General features: G+C 63.2%; 3 protein-coding genes and 1 long non-coding RNA gene across 5 annotated transcripts in view, besides 8 other annotated features; 3 read left to right on the top strand and 1 right to left on the bottom strand.

Annotated features, from left to right (window-relative positions):
• Positions 1,121-1,790: an enhancer, noted in NCBI's record as "H3K4me1 hESC enhancer chr9:139940694-139941363 (GRCh37/hg19 assembly coordinates)". NCBI's record gives its function as "activates a minimal SCP1, AML or CMV promoter by ChIP-STARR-seq in naive H9 embryonic stem cells {active_cell/tissue: H9 hESC(naive)}" and the evidence as "EXISTENCE:reporter gene assay evidence [ECO:0000049][PMID:30033119]".
• Positions 1,855-8,569, top strand: NPDC1 (neural proliferation, differentiation and control 1). The gene is made up of 9 exons (NM_015392.4): positions 1,855-2,154; positions 4,959-5,105; positions 6,845-6,970; positions 7,048-7,218; positions 7,295-7,361; positions 7,434-7,518; positions 7,596-7,675; positions 7,965-8,061; positions 8,168-8,569. Exons 1-9 carry the CDS (start codon positions 2,043-2,045, stop codon positions 8,258-8,260), a joined length of 978 nt encoding a protein of 325 aa, NP_056207.3. The 5' UTR covers positions 1,855-2,042; the 3' UTR covers positions 8,261-8,569.
• Positions 8,570-10,076: 1,507 nt separating this feature from the next.
• The window catches only part of LINC02908 (long intergenic non-protein coding RNA 2908), a 10,492-nt gene continuing 1,084 nt past the window's right edge, over positions 10,077-19,484 (bottom strand). The window contains exons 2-3 of the long non-coding RNA NR_171031.1: positions 14,801-16,034; positions 10,077-13,382 (exon numbers count right to left, since the gene is read on the bottom strand). This is a non-coding gene — a long non-coding RNA (long intergenic non-protein coding RNA 2908). The remainder of the gene's footprint in view (positions 13,383-14,800; positions 16,035-19,484) is intronic.
• Positions 11,567-12,453: an enhancer, noted in NCBI's record as "H3K4me1 hESC enhancer chr9:139930031-139930917 (GRCh37/hg19 assembly coordinates)". NCBI's record gives its function as "activates a minimal SCP1, AML or CMV promoter by ChIP-STARR-seq in naive H9 embryonic stem cells {active_cell/tissue: H9 hESC(naive)}" and the evidence as "EXISTENCE:reporter gene assay evidence [ECO:0000049][PMID:30033119]".
• Positions 12,454-13,342: an enhancer, noted in NCBI's record as "H3K4me1 hESC enhancer chr9:139929142-139930030 (GRCh37/hg19 assembly coordinates)". NCBI's record gives its function as "activates a minimal SCP1, AML or CMV promoter by ChIP-STARR-seq in naive H9 embryonic stem cells {active_cell/tissue: H9 hESC(naive)}" and the evidence as "EXISTENCE:reporter gene assay evidence [ECO:0000049][PMID:30033119]".
• Positions 12,454-13,394: a biological region, named in NCBI's record as "H3K4me1 hESC enhancer GRCh37_chr9:139929142-139930030".
• Positions 13,195-13,394: an enhancer, noted in NCBI's record as "active region_29339". NCBI's record gives its function as "activates an Ori minimal core promoter by ATAC-STARR-seq in GM12878 lymphoblastoid cells {active_cell/tissue: GM12878}" and the evidence as "EXISTENCE:reporter gene assay evidence [ECO:0000049][PMID:35858748]".
• Positions 15,800-15,909: an enhancer, noted in NCBI's record as "active region_29338". NCBI's record gives its function as "activates an Ori minimal core promoter by ATAC-STARR-seq in GM12878 lymphoblastoid cells {active_cell/tissue: GM12878}" and the evidence as "EXISTENCE:reporter gene assay evidence [ECO:0000049][PMID:35858748]".
• Positions 15,944-17,858, top strand: FUT7 (fucosyltransferase 7). Its single transcript, NM_004479.4, has 2 exons — positions 15,944-16,053; positions 16,307-17,858. The coding sequence occupies exons 1-2, from the start codon at positions 16,041-16,043 to the stop codon at positions 17,320-17,322; spliced, it is 1,029 nt and encodes a 342-aa protein (NP_004470.1). The 5' UTR covers positions 15,944-16,040; the 3' UTR covers positions 17,323-17,858.
• Positions 18,910-19,484: part of a biological region, named in NCBI's record as "H3K4me1 hESC enhancer GRCh37_chr9:139922830-139923574", that runs on past the window's edge.
• Positions 18,910-19,484: part of an enhancer, noted in NCBI's record as "H3K4me1 hESC enhancer chr9:139922830-139923574 (GRCh37/hg19 assembly coordinates)", that runs on past the window's edge. NCBI's record gives its function as "activates a minimal SCP1, AML or CMV promoter by ChIP-STARR-seq in naive H9 embryonic stem cells {active_cell/tissue: H9 hESC(naive)}" and the evidence as "EXISTENCE:reporter gene assay evidence [ECO:0000049][PMID:30033119]".
• The window catches only part of ABCA2 (ATP binding cassette subfamily A member 2), a 21,689-nt gene continuing 21,314 nt past the window's right edge, over positions 19,110-19,484 (top strand). For both annotated transcript variants that reach the window (XM_047422921.1, NM_212533.3), the window contains exon 1: positions 19,110-19,315. In XM_047422921.1, the coding sequence (XP_047278877.1) occupies positions 19,160-19,315 (156 nt within the window). In that variant the 5' untranslated portion in view covers positions 19,110-19,159. The remainder of the gene's footprint in view (positions 19,316-19,484) is intronic.

Here is a 19,484-nt window from a genome sequence, read left to right as displayed (position 1 = left end):
CGCACGGGCCTGCCCTTGGTCCTGAGGGTGGACACCATCCCTCCCTACTGCCTTCTGCTCTGGAGCCAGGCCTGGGGCACTGGCTGCTGCCCTGGTGTGCCGTGGCAGCCTAGAGTAGCTGCAGGATGGCTGGCCCGAGGGAATGTTCCTGGGCCCTTGAGTCTTCTCTGGCCAGCAGAGTTCCCCAAAACCATCACATCCAGATCTGCGTTGGTGACCAAGGCCAGACTGAAGGTTGGGTCCTGGTACAGTGAGCCTGGGGGTGAGGGTAGAGGTCAGGGAGGTGGCGGAGAGTGGGTGGCAGCCAGCCAGGCGGCTTCCTAGGGGGCAGTCAGTGCTGGTAGAGACTGGCGGGAGGGCAGGCCCACATCAGGAGGTGGCACAGGGGTGGGAGATGAGATCAGGACCAGGACCCATAGGCAGGAATCTTGCACAGAACCTGGCTGTGGAGCTGAGCCATGCAATGGCACAGGGCACCTTGCCCTTCTCACCTGGGACTGAGTGTCCTGCACCTCCAAAAGGCATCCTGCAGCCCCAGCCAGGCCCTGCAGCCCCTCCCCAAGCCAGTTTTCTCCAGGATGGGAAGGCCTGGTCTTGCCCACTCGCCTCCTCACCTTCCTGGGAAGTGAGCTTAGACACTGTCTCTATGCTCAGTGCCCTGGCGAGGAGGGTGGTGGTTCTTATTCTGCTCTTCCCTCCCCTCTTCACCATTTTTTTTTAAAGTCATTTGATAAACCTGAGGGCAGCCAGCCCCAGCTTTGGAGTTCTGAGACTGGAAGGACCAAGGGGACACCCCGGGTTGGAGGTCTCACTCTTGTTCTCTGAATGACTAGTCAAAGGAGGTTTCTAGTGGGATGGGGTGGGCGTGCTCTTGGGAGGCAACAGGTGAGGTGCAAGGGGGGCATCAGAGATGCCCGTTGTCAGCTGGGCACAGTGGCTCACGCCTGTAATCCCAGCACTTTGGGAGGCTGAGGCTGGCGTATCACCTGAGGTCAGGAGTTCAAGACCAGCTGAGGCAACATGGTGAAACCCCGTCTGTACTAAGAATACAAAAATTAGCCCAGCATGGTGGCACGCGCCTGTAATCCCAGCTACTCAGGAGGCAGAGGCACGAGAATCACTTGAACCCGAGAGGTGGAGGTTGCAGTGGGCCGAAATGGCACCACTGCACTCCAGGCTAGGCGACAGAGACGCTGTCTCAAAGAAAAAAAAAAAAAAAGATGCCCATTGTCCTGAGGGAGCTAAAGGGCTGTCACCTGGGGACCCTGAACACCTTGGACAGCTCCCAGCTCCGGTCCTCAGTGGCTCCGGATCACTCTTGCCCCCTGGTGGCCTCACTGAGCGCGGCCGCCGCGGCTCCAGCCAAAGCTGCAGTCGGGGCCGGGGCCGTTCTGTGTTCCTGTATTTGCTTTTCCCGCGAGTGGGGGTGCCCCTGCCTCTGTGGGCACACCTGTGCCTTCCTGTGCACCTGCCCAGCTCGTGAGCACCTGTCTGCGTGCGCCCGGCGCTCCTGTGTCTCTGTGCGCTCGCGAGGCTAGGCCCACACAGGTCCTCTGCCCCATCGCGGGTGCGGGTGAGGGGCTCGGAGTCCTACCGGGAAGAGGCCAGAAGGGAGCGCATCCTGGAGAAGCCCACCCGCGGCCCAAACCCAGCCGGACTTCTGGGAACCGCACCGGCCCCAGAGACCGCAGGTGCCGAGACACCCTGAGGCCGAGAGAGGTCCAGCGAGGCCCGGAGAGGGGACCAGAACTGGAGCAGGGGGAGGGGGCGCAGTCTGGAGCCGCCCTCCCGCCCCCTCAGGTGGAGCGCGCAGGCGCAGTCTCCGCGTGCGCGCCTCGCCGGCGCCTCCATCCCGGATCCTTGCTGCAGCGTCAGCGCCGCCGCCCGTGCCTTTCCTCTTCCTCCTCCTCCTCCTTGGCATCCGCCTCTTCTTCCTCCTGCGTCCTCCCCCGCTGCCTCCGCTGCTCCCGACGCGGAGCCCGGAGCCCGCGCCGAGCCCCTGGCCTCGCGGTGCCATGCTGCCCCGGCGGCGGCGCTGAAGGATGGCGACGCCGCTGCCTCCGCCCTCCCCGCGGCACCTGCGGCTGCTGCGGCTGCTGCTCTCCGGCCTCGTCCTCGGCGCCGCCCTGCGTGGAGCCGCCGCCGGCCACCCGGGTGAGCGAGCGCGCTGGGCGCAGGCCGCGGGGCGCCCCGGGGCCGGGATCGCCGGGCGGGGACCGGGTTGCCGGGCGCCGCCGCCCTCGTCCTGCCCAGGCCCGCAGGCCCTGCAGGCCTGGTCCGCTGGTGGCGGGGGCCCCGCCTCGCCCACGATGGAATAAACAGGCCTGGCCGGAGGGCGCAGCGCGGAGCCTCCAAAAGGCCGCGCCGGATGGGGCTTCTGCCGGTTCCCAGAGGCGTACCTTACATTCATGGCTTCTTCCGCCGGGAGCGCGTCTGGCTCAGGCCTCCGCGCCGCGGCCATCTGGCTCTGGGCGGGCCCGCCGGGAGTCTGCCTGTGTGCGTCTCTGTGTCTCCGTGTTCGGGGCTCCTGCGGGTGTGGGGCTGGCCCTGAGTGCCCGCCGGCTTCGCTGCCGGTGCGCGTCCCGGGGTCGGGGCCTCAGTGCTGCTCTGCCTGTCCTCACGCCTTGGGTGGCGCTGGGCACCGGCCTTGTGCGCCATGGTGGGCGCTGAAGTTCTGGGGGCACTTATGGCGCAGGCTCGGGGTGCTGTTCTAGCTTCAATAGGAGGGAGACTGTTGCAGCCTCAGAGCCTCCGCCTGCATCCCCTGCCCTCGAGGGCACTGGCATTCTGTCTTTGGGACTGAGGGCTGCAGGTGGACTCCGGAGGAGGGTGATAAGCCCAGGGTCCTGGGACACCCTCTCACCTGCACAGATGGGTCCTGAGGGTCCAGAGAGCAGAGCTCCCTGCAGGAACCCAGGATGCAAAGCTGACGTTTTTCTGGGGGGACTGAACTGGGAGACTTTGCGACTGCATTCGTACAGTACTCCTGGCAGCCCTGCAGAAGAGGTGCTGTGAGCCCGTTTTACAGGCAAGGAATCCGAGGCATGGAGAAGTTAAGTGGATTGTGGCACAGCTGAGGCGCTGTCCTGGGCAGCCTGGTTCTGTGTGTGTGGCCTCAAGGGGCCAGAGTGAGGCCGGCTTCCTCCTGGGCTCAGTGCCCCTGGATGGGAGGTGGGCATGAACAGGAGAGGCTTCCGAGAATCAGAGTGTGCTCAGCCAGGAAAGGCGGAGGCCACCTATTCAGGAAACGGGGCTGCAGCTGCTGTGCTGAGCCCGGGTGGGTGGCAGGTGCCAGTCCTCAGTTCACCGGCCTCTGCAGCTTCGTGTCTGCCTCACCGGGAGACCTGGCAGGGCCCTCCCTAGGCAACTCCTCCCATTCCCAGTGCCCAGTGCTTGGAAGGGAGGGCCCTCAGGCAGCCCAGACGTTGGCGGGTGGAGGGGGGTGTGCCAGCCACCGTCCAGCTGCTCTTGTTCCTGCGACCTCTTTTCAGGAGGAGGAAGTGGGGGATGGAGGCTCCTGGGCTGGGGAAAAGGGCTAGGAGGGGCCTGGAACCCAGACCCTAGAGCCAGCTTTGTACCTCAGGCCCCTGCCTTTGGCGTGGTGGACGGTGGGGTATCAGCACAGGAGCGGGGACTGCCTCACTCCCCAGGTGCCAAGTTGGCGGGTGGGCCCAGGTGGACCTGCTGGCACAGGTTTAATGTTTAACGTGCCCAAGTCCCGGCCCACTGATACTGGAGGCTGCTGCCCCAGGTTGTGGAGGGTGTGCGGTGCCTGGCGTTGGCTCCTGTGCCCACCTGCCACTGCGGCTGCTGGAACTGCCTTGAAGGAAGGCGGACAGCCTGAGGGCCCTGAGTGTCAGGTTACCAAGGAAACCAAACCAGCCAACCAAGGTCTGGAGAAGGATGATGCCCCGTGTGGCCCCCGTGGCCCTGCCTGCAGTGTGCAGTGTGGGGCTGGGCAGAGAGGAAGAGTCCTGGTTAGCCAGAGGTGCCACCGCAGACTCCCCAGGCAGGGTTGATGGCCCTGCTGGGGTTCCCCTGGCTCCACTGGCTTGCTGTGACTGGGGACATTCCTTAGCTTTGAGGCAACTCAGCTATATCCCAGAGGGGAAACTGAGGCAGAGGGCCATTGCCCCCTCGCCCCGTTCTCCAGCACCAGGATAAGACTGATTAGCCACATGTGTCAGCTGGCACCGTGGCCTGGGCCCCTCATCAGCGAGATGAAAGTGTGGTTAGGAACTAGGGAACTAGGGCCTGGCCTGCCATCCCCAGCACTGCCAACCTCGGCCTCCTGAGGCCCTCGGGTGCCACCTGGCCCCTGACTGCAGCCCCTGGTGTGGTGGCTTTGGGAGTGACCTGCCTGGGTTCTGTGTCTGAGGCCAGTGAGGTCAGCAGACTCCATCTTAGGTGTCCTCGGTGCCTGGGGGACAAGCCAGAGGCTGGAGGAGCAGCATCCCTTCCAGGCTGCACACTTGTCAGTGCCGGGTTCTGGGGAGAGCCGCACGGGAAGGAGAGGTCGCTGGCGGCATCGTTTGCTGCTCCCCAGAGACAGACCTGGGCCCTTCCCTCTGGGACTCCCAATCTGGACGGGGTTCCTGGCTTGCTGTGGGGCATGTTGAGGCCGGAGGCTGGGCTTGTGGGGCTGCACGGCCCTGCCCAGGAGAACTCAGCACTGCCTGGACGGCGAGACTCAGCTTCTGAGCTGAGGGCTCTATCAGGCCTGGAAGTGGACCCTGGGGAGGGGTGGGGCAGGGTAGTTCTGATAAGTCCTAGGACTGTTCGCTTCCGGGTTCTGAGCCCTGGCGTCAGGGAGGAAGGGCATGTCCAGAACAATGGCCAGAACCAGGCCCGGCCAGCTCGGGGGGTGACGGGGGCGGGTGGCTGGGGCAGCGCTGCCGTGTGCAGGGGCCGAGCCCTGCGGGGCCGTGAGCCGGCCCTGCCTTCTGCTTCCTTCCCAGATGTAGCCGCCTGTCCCGGGAGCCTGGACTGTGCCCTGAAGAGGCGGGCAAGGTGTCCTCCTGGTGCACATGCCTGTGGGCCCTGCCTTCAGCCCTTCCAGGAGGACCAGCAAGGGCTCTGTGTGCCCAGGATGCGCCGGCCTCCAGGTACGAGAGCAAAGGGGGAAGTCGATGGGGGGATGTCCCTGCATGAACCTCTCCCTGTAAGAAGCGGCCGGCTGGGCGCGGTGGCTCATGCCTGTAATCCCAGCACTGTGGGAGGCCCAGGCTGTTGGATCTCATGAGGTCAGGAGTTCAAGACCAGCCTGGCCAACATGGTGAAACCCCGTCTCTACTAAAAATACAAAGTAGCCGGGTGTGGTGGCACACACCTGTAGTCCCAGCTACTCAGGAGGCTGAGGCAGGAGAATTGCTTTAACCCGGGAGGCGGAGCTTGCAGTGAGCCGATTCACCACTGCACTCCAGCCTGGGCGACAGTGCGAGACTCTGTCTCAAAAAAAAAAAAAAAAAAAAAGAAGGCCGGGAGCAGTGGCTCACGCCTGTAATCCCAGCACTTTGGGAGGCCGAGGCGGGCACATCATAAGGTCAGGAGATCGAGACCATCCTGGCTAACACGGTGAAACCCCATCTGTACTAAAAATACAAAAACAAAATTAGCCGGGCGTGGCGGCGGGCGCCTGTAGTCCCAGCTACTCGGGAAGCTAAGGCAGGAGAATGGCGTGAACCCGGGAGGCAGAGCTTGCAGTGAGCCGAGATCGCGCCACTGCACTCCAGCCTGGGCGGCAGAGCGAGACTCCGCCTCAAAAAAAAAAAAGCAGCAGCCTGCAGCCTCAATGCCCAGGCCTGTGCCAGGTGGTCTTGGGGCCCCTGGACCTTGTGGGGTGTTGGGTCCAAGGCCTGGGAGATCCTCATTCACTCTCCACGAAGCCTCCCATCCTTTCCAAATGGAGGTGGGCCCAGGCCTGGGGCAGTCAGGCCCTCCCAGGAGAAGGGCTGCACGATGTGAAATGCTGGGATGGCCACGGGAGAGGAAGGGCCCATTCTCCCCGGGCCTGGGCTCTGCAGGGTCTGCCCAGAAGCCCTCCAGGCCCCCACTTCCCCGTCCCCAGGCAGCTTGCTCTTTTCCACCACTCACTGTCCTGTCCGCCTGTTGGCAAATGTTGAAGGGTGCCAGCACTGGCTGGGTGCTGGGGATGCCCCGCTCGCCAGCCTGAGCCGCATCTGTCGGGATGGCCAGTCACTGAGTGACTTCAGGTGTGGTGAGGGCTTTGCTCAGAGGTGCTGGGGGTGGGAGCAGCAGCGGCTTCCTGGAGGAGGTGTTGAGAGGAGCACCGAGAAGTGGCTGTAAGGGTCTGTGTGGATGCACCTCCTGCCAACCTGGGAGCGTCCACCCAGACTGTGCAGCCCACAGTGGGTACCGGTGGAGCCCTGCCACCAGCCCCACCCCTGACAGCTGCCCCCGTTCTCCCAATGACCTGGGGAGGGGTCCCGGGTGCTTGGCTTCCTTCGGCTTCCCCCCACTCCTTGGGGAGTCCCTGCCCCTCTACCCGAGAAGGTGCTTGGAGGTGGGGAAGCAGAAGGGGCTGTGCTGGCCAGCCCTTTATGGACATGGGTTGGGGCGAGAGACCCCACTCCTTCCTCCCCGTGCCCGGTCTTTGGACGTTTCCCTAGCGCCTCCTCCCTTGCCCTGCCTCCACTTTCCGGGAAGCACTGCCCCTCACAGGAAGCGCCCGCGCTGTCACCATGGCAATCTGGGAGGGAGAGGGCCTCCAGGCGTGTACCCAGTCCTCAGGCTCCTGGGAGGAACCTGCCAGAAGCGGGGAGGCCGGGCCTGGGGCTACCTCCTGGACGGACCCCTCCACCTGATGGCCCCTCACCCTCCCCAGGCGGGGGCCGGCCCCAGCCCAGACTGGAAGATGAGATTGACTTCCTGGCCCAGGAGCTTGCCCGGAAGGAGTCTGGACACTCAACTCCGCCCCTACCCAAGGACCGACAGCGGCTCCCGGAGCCTGGTGAGACCCCCGCTTCCCCTGCCCCACGGCCCTGTCCCTAGCCCAGTGCTCTCATTCTAACCTGTCCTCTCTCGCAGCCACCCTGGGCTTCTCGGCACGGGGGCAGGGGCTGGAGCTGGGCCTCCCCTCCACTCCAGGAACCCCCACGCCCACGCCCCACACCTCCCTGGGCTCCCCTGTGTCATCCGACCCGGTGCACATGTCGCCCCTGGAGCCCCGGGGAGGGCAAGGCGACGGCCTCGCCCTTGGTAGGTCTTGGTCGGGGGTGGGCAGGGGCAGCAGGGCGCCCTGCAGAAGGCCGCCCTCACACGCCCCCTCCTGCAGTGCTGATCCTGGCGTTCTGTGTGGCCGGTGCAGCCGCCCTCTCCGTAGCCTCCCTCTGCTGGTGCAGGTGAGCCAGTGGCCGCGGGCAGGGCAGGGAGGGTGCCACACGCTCAGAGGTCTCAGGCCCCACTCCCCACAGGCTGCAGCGTGAGATCCGCCTGACTCAGAAGGCCGACTACGCCACTGCGAAGGCCCCTGGCTCACCTGCAGCTCCCCGGATCTCGGTGTGTGGCCCCCTTCAGCCCTGAGGCTCCCGCCCAACTCTGGCCGCCAACTGACCCTCGCCTCCTCCTTCCCACAGCCTGGGGACCAGCGGCTGGCACAGAGCGCGGAGATGTACCACTACCAGCACCAACGGCAACAGATGCTGTGCCTGGAGCGGTGAGTGGCCGCCCCGGCACTGCCACCCCCACCCACCCACCCCCCATCCCCACCTCCACCTCCATTTCCACCTCCCCTGGCCAACTTTACCCCAGGCCCTGCCACCCTCACCTGCACGCTAACCTTCACCTCCCCCGCCGCCCTGCACCCTCACCTCCCCTGGCCAACTTCACCCTGGGCTGTGCTCCCCTGCCACCCCAGGGCTGAGGTGGGCTGAGTGCCCACTTCCAGACTGGGCCACTGGCACCTCGAGGGCATGGGGAGGACCCAGCGATCCCCCCCCACCCAGGCATAAAGAGCCACCCAAGGAGCTGGACACGGCCTCCTCGGATGAGGAGAATGAGGACGGAGACTTCACGGTGTACGAGTGCCCGGGCCTGGCCCCGGTGAGTGCCTCAGGGTGCAGGGAGGGGCGAACCATCTCCTGGGGTTCCCTCCCAGCAAGTATCCCCCCAGCCCACCCACTGCCCAGCCTGACACCCACATTCGCAGACCGGGGAAATGGAGGTGCGCAACCCTCTGTTCGACCACGCCGCACTGTCCGCGCCCCTGCCGGCCCCCAGCTCACCGCCTGCACTGCCATGACCTGGAGGCAGACAGACGCCCACCTGCTCCCCGACCTCGAGGCCCCCGGGGAGGGGCAGGGCCTGGAGCTTCCCACTAAAAACATGTTTTGATGCTGTGTGCTTTTGGCTGGGCCTCGGGCTCCAGGCCCTGGGACCCCTTGCCAGGGAGACCCCCGAACCTTTGTGCCAGGACACCTCCTGGTCCCCTGCACCTCTCCTGTTCGGTTTAGACCCCCAAACTGGAGGGGGCATGGAGAACCGTAGAGCGCAGGAACGGGTGGGTAATTCTAGAGACAAAAGCCAATTAAAGTCCATTTCAGACCTGCGGCTTCTGCCTGTGTTGCCAGCTTGGGTTAATCTTCCACCGCCTCATCTCCCATTTGGGGCCCTGGTAGACGGACCCCTGAGTGGGGGGCCTGGGGTCTGCTCTTGCACCCCCAGAGGGAGGAGGCCTTTCTGTTCGCTCATTAGGAGGACCTTCCCATCCCGTGGAGCTGGAGGAGAGGCCACGGGATCATCCCCACCCTCCTCAGCCAGGCCTCACCCCTGCAGACCCTTCTACGCAGGTGGGAGAGGGGAAGGGTGTAGTGTAGGGCTGGGCCAGCCCAGGGTTGGCTCTGCGGCCCGGAAGACCCCATCCTGTGTGATAAAGAGGGCTGGAGCAGGTGATAGTCCACACGCACCTGGATGTGGGTGCCCACCACCTCCAGGCAGAAGGAAAACAATGCAGACATTGAGTCTGGGTTTCTCATGGGGACCACGGCCGCCAGGCCCTGCAGCACACGGAGGAGGGATGGCAGGCAGAGGTACCTGTGTGATACCAGCTATGCAGAGCCAGGTGGACCCAGGGGGCCAGGTGAGGGGTGTGATGGGAGGGGCCTGGACGCCTGGAGCTGGGACTTGGCCACTCCTAAATTTGGAGCAAGAAGGCCCCGAGGGAGGAAGGGGAATCATGTGGTCAAAAGTGCCCAGATCAGGCCAGTACCAGGTCAGCGTGCGGGGGCTGAAACTCTCTGTCCCACTGATGCTGGGGACGTAGGAGGACTGGGTTCAGAAGCCCCTCAGTGGTTGTTAGGAGTCTGGAGGTCCAGGCACCTAGACAGCCCTGGCGTGTTCGTGTTATTAATCAGGGATCTCTTTTTATTTATTTATTTATTTATTTATTTATTTATTTATTTATTTTTGAGACGTAGTTTCACTCTTGTTGCCCAGGTTGGAGTGCAATGGCGTGATCTCGGCTCACTGCAACCTCCGCCTCTCAGGTTCAAGCGATTCTCCTGCCTCAGCCTCCCGAGTAGCTGGGATTGCAGGTGTGCGCCACCACACCTGACTAATTTTGTATTTTTAGTAGAGACGAGGTTTCTCCATGTTGGCCAGGCTGGTCTGGAATTCCCGACCTCAGATGATCTGCCCACCTCGGTCTCCCAAAGTGCTGGGATTACAGGCGTGAGTCACCACACACGGCCAGTCAGGTTCTCTTAGAGAAACAGAACTAATAGGAGATATATATATATAGAGAGAGAGAGAGAGGGGGGCCAGGTGCAGTGGCTCATGCCTGTAATCCCAGCACTTTGGGAAGCTGAGGCGGGCGGATTGCCCGAGCTCAGGAGTTCGAGACCAGCCTGGGCAACACAGTAAAACCCCCGTCTCTACTAAAATACAAGAAATTAGCCAAGCATGGCAGCGTGTGCCTGTAGTCCCAGCTATCTGGAGGCTGAGGCAGGAGAATCGCTTGAACCCAGGAGGCGGAGGTTGCAGTGAGCCAAGATTGCACCACCGCACTCCAGCCTAGAGACAGCAAGACTGTGTTAAAAAAAAAAAAAGAAATACATATATATATGAAGGGGAGTTTATTAAGTATTAACTCACACGATCACAAGGTCCCACAATAGGCCGTCTGCAAGCTGAGGAGCATGGAGAGCCAGCCCGAGTCTCAAAGCTGAACTTGGAGTCCGATGTTCGAGGGCAGGAAGCGTCCAGCACAGGAGAAAGATGTAGGCTGGGAGGCGAGGCCTGTCGTCTCCTTTTCACGTTTTTCTGGTTGACATTCGCTGGCAGCTGATTAGATGGTGCCCACCAGATGAAGGGTGGGTCTGCCTTCCGCAGCCCACTGACTCTAGTGTTAATCTCTTTTGGCAACACCCTCTCAGACACACCCAGCATCAATACTTTGTATCCTTCAATCCAATTAAATTGACAGTATTAACCATCACACCTGGCATGGGGAAGATAAGGCCCACTGGGCACCGTCCCTGGAGAAAGGGTGGGCCAGGCAGGCTGGGGGAAAATTGTTCACCCCTGCTGGGGGAGACTGGCTTGACCTAAGCAACATGTTTTGGGGGCCACAGCCCACCCAGACCAGGAAGCCCCCTTGCCTCTCACCTCTCACTCCTCACCTGTGACCTTGGGCTGGCCCTCAGCTGGGAGCCCCATGTCCCTCTGGGCACTGCTGTGATGGGGCAGGGTGTGATGGGAGCCTGTGTGTGGGCCCTGGTGTGATGGGTGCCTGCGTGCATGGGGCAGGGTGGACGCTGAGCCCACGTGGCACGCCCACGCCCACCATCCTTCACTCTAAGCCATTAGCCACAGGGAAAGCGGGTGGGTGCAGGGAGGCCCGAGCGTCACTCAAGGGCGCAGGGCAGCGTCTGGCCCAAGGCCAGCGTGTCACTGGCTGGGAGGTTCCCCTGGAGCTCCACGTTCAGTCCCTCAGGTCACAATACACACCTATCCTGCTGGCCTGACGCAGGGGCCCAAGAGCCTCCTAGTGTGTCCCATCTTCTTCTTGTTCTGGGTGTCCCCAACCTGTCCTCAGGGTCCCTGCTGCCCATTCTCTTAGGTATTGGCAAGGAAGGACTCCCTCCCAGAGCAGCTGTGTGAGAAGGGAGCTGGTGGGCCTGAGCTGGGGAAGGGTTGGCAGGGGGCTAGGTCCTCCGGTGGGGGCATAGGCCCCCATGCAGCCTAGCACCCTGCTCCCCACTCGCCTTTTTGGAATTGTTTTTTTTTTTTTTGAGACAGATTCTCACTCTGTCAGCCAGGCTGGAGTGCAGTGATATGATCTTGGCTCTCTGCAACCTCCATCTCCCAGGTTCAAGTGATTCTCCTGCCTCAGCCTCCCGAGTATTTGGGATTACATACAGGTGCCTGCCACCACGCCCAGCTATTTTTAGTGGAGATGGGGTTTCACCATGTTGACCAGGCTGGTCTCGAACTCCTGACCTCAGGTGATCCACCCGCCTTGGCCTCCCAAAGTGGGATTACAGGCATAAGCCACCACACCAGCTTTTTGGCTTTCATTGGCCCCTGGCCAATTCAGACAGAAGGCCTTCAACTTTGTCCAAGCTCCTGCCCCCACCCATCAGGAGCCCCCTTGCTCCCATAGGCCCCAGGCTGTGGGTGAGCTGCCCTGGGGCCCCCAGGGACTCTGGAGACCCCAATCCTGGGCTTGGGGCCTGGCTCAGCCTTGCCTGGGGGCCCATTACTCAATTCCTTTCCACTTTACCTTCTGCTGTTCCTGTCCCTGTCCCAAGGGCCCTGGCGGCAGTAAGAGGCAGATTTCACCTTGGTTTCTGGCTCAACTCTGAGCCCTGAGCCGGCCTGAGCCTGCTGACCCTGGCCCGGCAGCCTAGCGCCCCCTCCACCAGTTCCCACTTGAGGAAGCCCAGCGGGGCACTGATGTGCATCTTCCAGCCTCGGCTACCTCCCTGCTTGGTGCCCTGCCCACACCTGGTGACCTCCTGAGCACAGATGCCCAAGAGTGACATGCCCAGACCCTGGCGGAGACGCTGGGGTGGCACTCATCTGTGCAGAGATGCCCCCAACCCAGCAAGATGCTGGGGCAGGACCATGCTTGACCCAGAATGTGGGGCGTGTGATCCCCTAGCCAACATCCTAGGAAGCAAGGACATCCCCAGCTTCTGGCCCTGGGAGGCGATCTTGTTCCCCACCCTGGGTGGCTGGGTGGGCCGGCCCCGGGTTCAGAGTCCCTGGCTGCAGCCCTCCCCTACAGCCACACAACACAGAGGAGCGGGTCCCGGCAAAACTTGGGGTGCAGAGTGGGTCCCTGGAGGACCAGAGCCCCACCCAGCAGCTCCACCTGGAGGAGAACAAGGACAGACGTGATCCCCCCACGCCTTGGGGCTCAATGGGATGAGAGTTGGAGGGGAGGGGCTGAGCTCACCCACTGCACCACCCTGTGCTGCCCCTCGACCAATCCCTCCACTTGGGGGTCCCCTTGGCCACCTGCCAGGCTCCGTGCACCCACCCAGCTTTCCCAAGGCGAGGTCCGAGGGGCTCTCCAGCCCCCAGCTCCACCTGTTACTGAGAATAAGGGCAGTCTTCCTTGTTGCCGGAGCCATGTAGCTTTGCAGCATGCCGCCAGGGAGCGCTCGAGACACGCATCTGGACTGCCTTGCTCAAGCCAACCCATGAAGCAGGTGGGGCTCAGGAAGACAGCCAGGCTCAGCCCGCTCCCTGAGACGCCCCTGGGGCTGGGGCTGGGTGCCCCTCACCTTGCTGCTGCCCCGGGTGCCGCTGTCTGCAGGGGGCAGCTGGCCAATGGTCTGCTCTTGGTCTGGAGTGGGGCCCACTGGGTTGAGGCCTCTTCAGTGGGCATCCACCGGGAAGCTGGCCCACAGTGAAGGCTCAGCGGGGAAGAGCTTGTGTCCTGATCATCACGATGCTCACACACCACGGAGCTGGGGTTGGCTGCCTGCCTGGGTCCGCACAAACCCAGGGAGTCAGGAGGCCTGGGTGGGGTGAGATGAGGGGGAGCCCCTGCCCCCCGACTTTCTCTTTGACTCATGCCCTTTTCTTTCCTCTGAGAGGCTTTCGTTCTGACCCATTTCTGGGCAAAACCCCCGAGCCCCGTTTGCCAGCTCGCAGGTTCCCACGCACGATTGGGCCCCATGGCAGCCACCCTGCCCAGGGTCCTCAAGGAGCAAGCTAGGGGCGGAGGGTGGGGGAGGCTCCTTCAAATCCACCCAGGGAGGGAGCAGGCTGTGGCTGCGGCTGAGGTCGGTGGCAAGGGACCCTGCCAGCCTGGCAGCACAAACAGGAAGGATGGCAGGCTCTGGCACCAGAGGCCGGGTCACCCGCAGGCGTGGCAGGACAGCCTCCTTCCTGCAGGAACTGCCGCCGGGTGTCTGTTTCAAGGAGAAGAGATGGGGTGGTGTGAGGCTGAAGCCAAGGTGTGGCTCCCCGGGGGCCCCCTGCCAGAGGAGGAACGCTGGGGTGGGATTAAAGGCCCAGGTGCCACTGTGGTCATCACCGAAAACATGGGAGGCTGGAAAGGCGGGGCTGGAGGCAGCTGCCCACTCTGGTGCCAGCCCCTAAGCCAAGCAGCTCAGGCACTGACAGTTTCCCGTGGCGCCCACAGGCACCCCTCCCTCCAAACCCCCCTCCCTCCAAGCTCCCCTCCAAGCTCCCCTCCCTCCAGCCCCCTCCCTCCAAACCCCCCTCTCTCCAGCCCCCCTCCCAAGCCCCCTCCCTCCAAGTCCCCCTCCCTCCAGCCCCCCTCCCTCCAGCCGTTGCACAAGTTCCGCAGCAAAGCTCAGCTCAGAGGCTACACTGCGCCACAGGGGTGGGGGCCTCTGACTACCACCCTGTCCCAGTCTTGCCTCTGTCCCCACAGTGGGATCCTCCCACTTCAGTCTCCAGCTGCCTGGTTCCCCTCCCAAGGCAGCCTTGTCCTCACTGTGGGGCCGGGGAGAGGCCAGCAGCCCCTGGGGCCCAAAAGTAGAACAGGACAGGGACAGGGGTGGTGGGAGGCAGGCCCCCTCTGAGGGTGCTGGGGCAAAGGTCTGGACAACAGTTCATGGTTGCCATTCCTCCCAGGACACACGATCTGAGCCCCCAAAAGACCTGACAGGACAGACGCGTCCTCATTCCCAGCATCCCAGCATTTTGGGAGGCCGAGGTGGGAGGACTGCTTGAGCCAGGAGTTTGAAACTAGCCTGGACAACATAACAAGACTCTGCCTCTACAAAAAATTTTAAAAAATTAACCAGGCATGGTAGTGCACACCCATAGACCCAGCTCCTTGGGAGGCTGAGGTGGGAGCATTGCTTGAGCCCAGGAGGTTGAGGCTGCAGCAAACCGTGACTGCGCCACTGCACTCCAGCCTGGGCAACAGAGCAAGACCCTGTCTCAAAAAACAAAAAACAAAAACCCACACACAAAAAAGCAAACTTGGCTGGGCGCGGTGGCTCATGCCTGTAATCCCAACACTTTGGGAGGCTGAAACTTGTGGATCACCTGAAGTCAGGAGTTTGAGACCAGCCTGGCCAACATGGGAAAACCCCATCTCTACTAAAAATACAAAAATTAGCTGGGCGTGGTGGCAGGCACCCATAATCCCAGCTACTTGGGAGGCTGAGACAGGAGAATCACTTGAACCCGGAAGGTGGAGGTTGCAGTGAGCCAAGATCGCACCACTTGATCCTGACTTCAGGTGATCCACAAGCCTTGGCCTCCCAAAATGCTGGGATTACAGCCTGGGCGATAGTGCAAGACTCCCTCTCAAAAAACAAACAAACAAACAAACAAACAAACCAAGCCTGACCTGCATTGAGATCTCCAGGACGTCTGGGTCTGGCCACGCCTGGGACCACACAAGGTCCCGTGCAGCAGAGTGGCAACGTGGTTGGGTGAAGAGGCTGATGGGGCCTCCCACTGTGGCTGAGAGTGGGGTGTTGGTTGGCTGGGGCTCAGGGTGACCCCGCAGGGCCATCCCAGCCTGGCTGGCACCCAACGTGGGCTGGTGTAGAAGAAGGAACCTGGCCTCCAGGCTCCAGGCCCTGGCTTAGAGGGAGCGGGGAGTCTGGACTTCAGGCTGGATCCCTTCCTCTTCCTGGAGCGGGTGCTGGCCCCCAACCCGCTTGCGTCAGGGACAAAAGGACTCCTTCCCTTTCCAGCCTGGAAAGCCCCTCTGCTGCAGGCTGGAGGAAGGGACCCTGGGCCCAGCCTATAGTCAGCGGTGTCTATGGGCATGGATCTGGACGGGGAAAAGGACAAAGCAGCCTCCATCCACAGTTCATTCCGGGACCAGGCCCTTGCAGGCACGCGCTGGGCTCCTGTGGGAAGACACTAAGGGCCCCAGGACAGACCTCCTCTCCGGGCATCTGGGTTCCTAGATGGCAGAGGTGGCAGAGTGGGGTGGGATGGCCCAATTGGGAGCTTTAGCTTCCGGCAAAGAGCTGAGCACAGTACATCTTCAATGTGTAAGATTCTCCTGGGAGACCAGGGCCCAGCTGGTGGTGAGCTGGGGGAAGTGGGTGATACTGCCGTGGGAGGAGCCACCTGGCCCTCTGGGGAAGTGCACTCGCTGTCTGCAGCGCCCAGGCCTGGGTAGCTGGGTGGGGGCTGGGGGGCCATCTGTGCTCAGGGTGCCTGCACCTGGGCCTTCTCTGCCCTGGGCCAAGCCTGCCCGAGCCTCTCTGTCCTCTGCCTGCCCAGCTGGACATCTCTGGGCCTCTCTGGAGACCAGTGGGGTGGGCTGTGGGGGCGTCATATTGCCCTGGCTTGGCATCCCTCTTGTGGCTGTACCCCTCCCAGCAGCCCCAGGACTAGCAAGTCCCCGAGATGGGGGTGGGGACAGTGGTTGATGCCAAAGGTTGTGGGGGCAGGGGCGGGGCAGGAGCAGGAAGGTCCCCTGAGTTCCCTCACCTTGGGCAGAGATAAAAGGAGCACAGTTCCAGGCGGGGCTGAGCTAGGGCGTAGCTGTGATTTCAGGGGCACCTCTGGCGGCTGCCGTGATTTGAGAATCTCGGGTCTCTTGGCTGACTGATCCTGGGAGACTGTGGATGAATAATGCTGGTGAGTGTCTGGCCCTCGGGGAGGCCCAAGCTGGGGACAGCTAGGCAACCTGGGAGGGGAGGACGGGGGTGGCGCTGAGTGGGGCATGTCGGTGTCCCTGAGCCCATGGGAGGGGAGGACGGGGGTGGCGCTGAGTGGGGCATGTGGGTGTCCCTGAGCCCATGGGAGGGGAGGACGGGGTTGGCGCTGAGTGGGGCGTGTGGATGTCCCTGAGCCCAAGTGACAGAGCCTCCCCTCCCTCGTGCTGCTGCAGGGCACGGCCCCACCCGGAGGCTGCGAGGCTTGGGGGTCCTGGCCGGGGTGGCTCTGCTCGCTGCCCTCTGGCTCCTGTGGCTGCTGGGGTCAGCCCCTCGGGGTACCCCGGCACCCCAGCCCACGATCACCATCCTTGTCTGGCACTGGCCCTTCACTGACCAGCCCCCAGAGCTGCCCAGCGACACCTGCACCCGCTACGGCATCGCCCGCTGCCACCTGAGTGCCAACCGAAGCCTGCTGGCCAGCGCCGACGCCGTGGTCTTCCACCACCGCGAGCTGCAGACCCGGCGGTCCCACCTGCCCCTGGCCCAGCGGCCGCGAGGGCAGCCCTGGGTGTGGGCCTCCATGGAGTCTCCTAGCCACACCCACGGCCTCAGCCACCTCCGAGGCATCTTCAACTGGGTGCTGAGCTACCGGCGCGACTCGGACATCTTTGTGCCCTATGGCCGCCTGGAGCCCCACTGGGGGCCCTCGCCACCGCTGCCAGCCAAGAGCAGGGTGGCCGCCTGGGTGGTCAGCAACTTCCAGGAGCGGCAGCTGCGTGCCAGGCTGTACCGGCAGCTGGCGCCTCATCTGCGGGTGGATGTCTTTGGCCGTGCCAATGGACGGCCACTGTGCGCCAGCTGCCTGGTGCCCACCGTGGCCCAGTACCGCTTCTACCTGTCCTTTGAGAACTCTCAGCACCGCGACTACATTACGGAGAAATTCTGGCGCAACGCACTGGTGGCTGGCACTGTGCCAGTGGTGCTGGGGCCCCCACGGGCCACCTATGAGGCCTTCGTGCCGGCTGACGCCTTCGTGCATGTGGATGACTTTGGCTCAGCCCGAGAGCTGGCGGCTTTCCTCACTGGCATGAATGAGAGCCGATACCAACGCTTCTTTGCCTGGCGTGACAGGCTCCGCGTGCGACTGTTCACCGACTGGCGGGAACGTTTCTGTGCCATCTGTGACCGCTACCCACACCTACCCCGCAGCCAAGTCTATGAGGACCTTGAGGGTTGGTTTCAGGCCTGAGATCCGCTGGCCGGGGGAGGTGGGTGTGGGTGGAAGGGCTGGGTGTCGAAATCAAACCACCAGGCATCCGGCCCTTACCGGCAAGCAGCGGGCTAACGGGAGGCTGGGCACAGAGGTCAGGAAGCAGGGGTGGGGGGTGCAGGTGGGCACTGGAGCATGCAGAGGAGGTGAGAGTGGGAGGGAGGTAACGGGTGCCTGCTGCGGCAGACGGGAGGGGAAAGGCTGCCGAGGACCCTCCCCACCCTGAACAAATCTTGGGTGGGTGAAGGCCTGGCTGGAAGAGGGTGAAAGGCAGGGCCCTTGGGGCTGGGGGGCACCCCAGCCTGAAGTTTGTGGGGGCCAAACCTGGGACCCCGAGCTTCCTCGGTAGCAGAGGCCCTGTGGTCCCCGAGACACAGGCACGGGTCCCTGCCACGTCCATAGTTCTGAGGTCCCTGTGTGTAGGCTGGGGCGGGGCCCAGGAGACCACGGGGAGCAAACCAGCTTGTTCTGGGCTCAGGGAGGGAGGGCGGTGGACAATAAACATCTGAGCAGTGCCTCGTGGGTCTGGCCAGTGTCTCATGGGTCACCTCCGTGCAGGGCCACAGAGCCTGCATCTGCCCTCCCCTGACATGTCGCCCCCACGGCCATGGGGCTGCTTGTTCCCCACGGGGGGTCCTGTCGCCTGACTTCTGGGCCTTTGCTCACCCTCCGCCTGAGAGCCCTCCCTGTGCCGGGCTGCCCACTGGCTACCCCAGTTCCTACAGCCTCCGCCAGACGGCCCCTTATCAGAGAGCCTTCTGTGTCCCCCAAAAGGCCAAGGCGATGAGCCCAGGAGTTCGAGACCAGCCTGGGCAGTGTAGTGAAATCTCATCTCTACCAAAAATACAAGAATTAGCAGGGCGTGGTGGCTCACGCTTGTGGTCTCAGCTACTTGGGATACTGAGGTGAGAGGATGGCTTGAGCCCAGGAGGTTGAAGCTTCAGTGAGCCGTGATCACACCACAGCACTCCAGCCTGGGCAACAGAATGAGACCCTGTCTCAAAACAAAAACCAAAACAGGCCAAGGTTGGGGAAGAGTAGGGAACGGACGTCAGAGGCCTGGCCAGGCTGAAATCGCCCATCTCCCAGGCCCGCAGGCTGGAGGGTGTCTGGGGTGACAGGGTCTGACCTGTGCCTTGTAGCTCCCTCTGGTGGCCAGTGCTGGGGAGGCACTGGGGATGCGGCTGCAGCCAGGGAGCCCCTGTAGTGGACGGTGGAGAGTGGGGCGAGGAGGAGAGAGGCCAACCCACGGGTGGTGCTGACCAGGGCCCCAACAGGCTAAGCCCCCGGGGCTGGGGCACAGGGCTTGTCCCTACCCCAGGTAGGGGTGGGCAGGTTGAGGGCAGGAAGCCCCCCTCACCCATGGCTGTGGCTTGTGGGAAAGACCTGCTGGTAGCTTCCTGCCCTGACCCAGCCCTGTGGACTGAGCAGAGAAAAGCAAGTGCCTTGAGGCTGCGGGCTGGGGTGGGAAGCTGATCCCTCACTCACTAGCCCAGGGTCACCTTCCTGCTGCAAAGGAGCTGGGAGGAGTGGGGAGCTGTGGCCTCGGAGGTCTTCATTCACTTGAGGATGCGCCTTCTATGTGCGCCCTGACACTGGACACCACACAGCGCTACTCCACCCCATTCACAGGGGGGAAACTGAGTCTGGGAAGCGCCGTCAGAGCCACCCATGGGGTCAGCCTGTCCTCTGTCGCTCTCTACAGGCCACGCGGAGGAACTGCCCCACCTCCCGGGGCGCCCCAGCAGGTGCCAAGCCACAGCCGCAGAACCGCCTGATCCCGAACTCCCTGTGCAGAGACCAGACTCGCCCGAATATGGGGAGAAAAACGAGCCGCGTGCAGCAGGGGCCGCCTCGGTCCCCTGCCTGCTCCGCTCACGGCGAGCGTTCCTGGGGCCTCGAGTTTCCCCCCTTCCGCTGGCTGCTCGGAATCGCGGGACGGACCCACCTGGCCGCCCTGCCTCCCTTCCAGGTGGGCACCACCTGGACTCCAAGTGCTGGTTTACAAAGCACACAGGAGACCCTTACGGGGGTGAGCTGGCCCCTCGCCAGCGTCCGCTCGGCGCGCCCCGGGGACAGTGAAGGCTTGGGGCGCCTCTGCAGAGTCGCCAGCGCGGTGGGCGCAGCCGGATGCCTCTGGG

The sequence above is a fragment of the Homo sapiens genome, chromosome 9 (assembly GCF_000001405.40).
Source record: "Homo sapiens chromosome 9, GRCh38.p14 Primary Assembly".
NCBI classification, from domain to species: domain Eukaryota; kingdom Metazoa; phylum Chordata; class Mammalia; order Primates; family Hominidae; genus Homo; species Homo sapiens.
The sequence above is the reverse complement of the archived record's forward strand: the minus strand, read 5'-3'. Positions and strand labels throughout refer to the sequence as shown.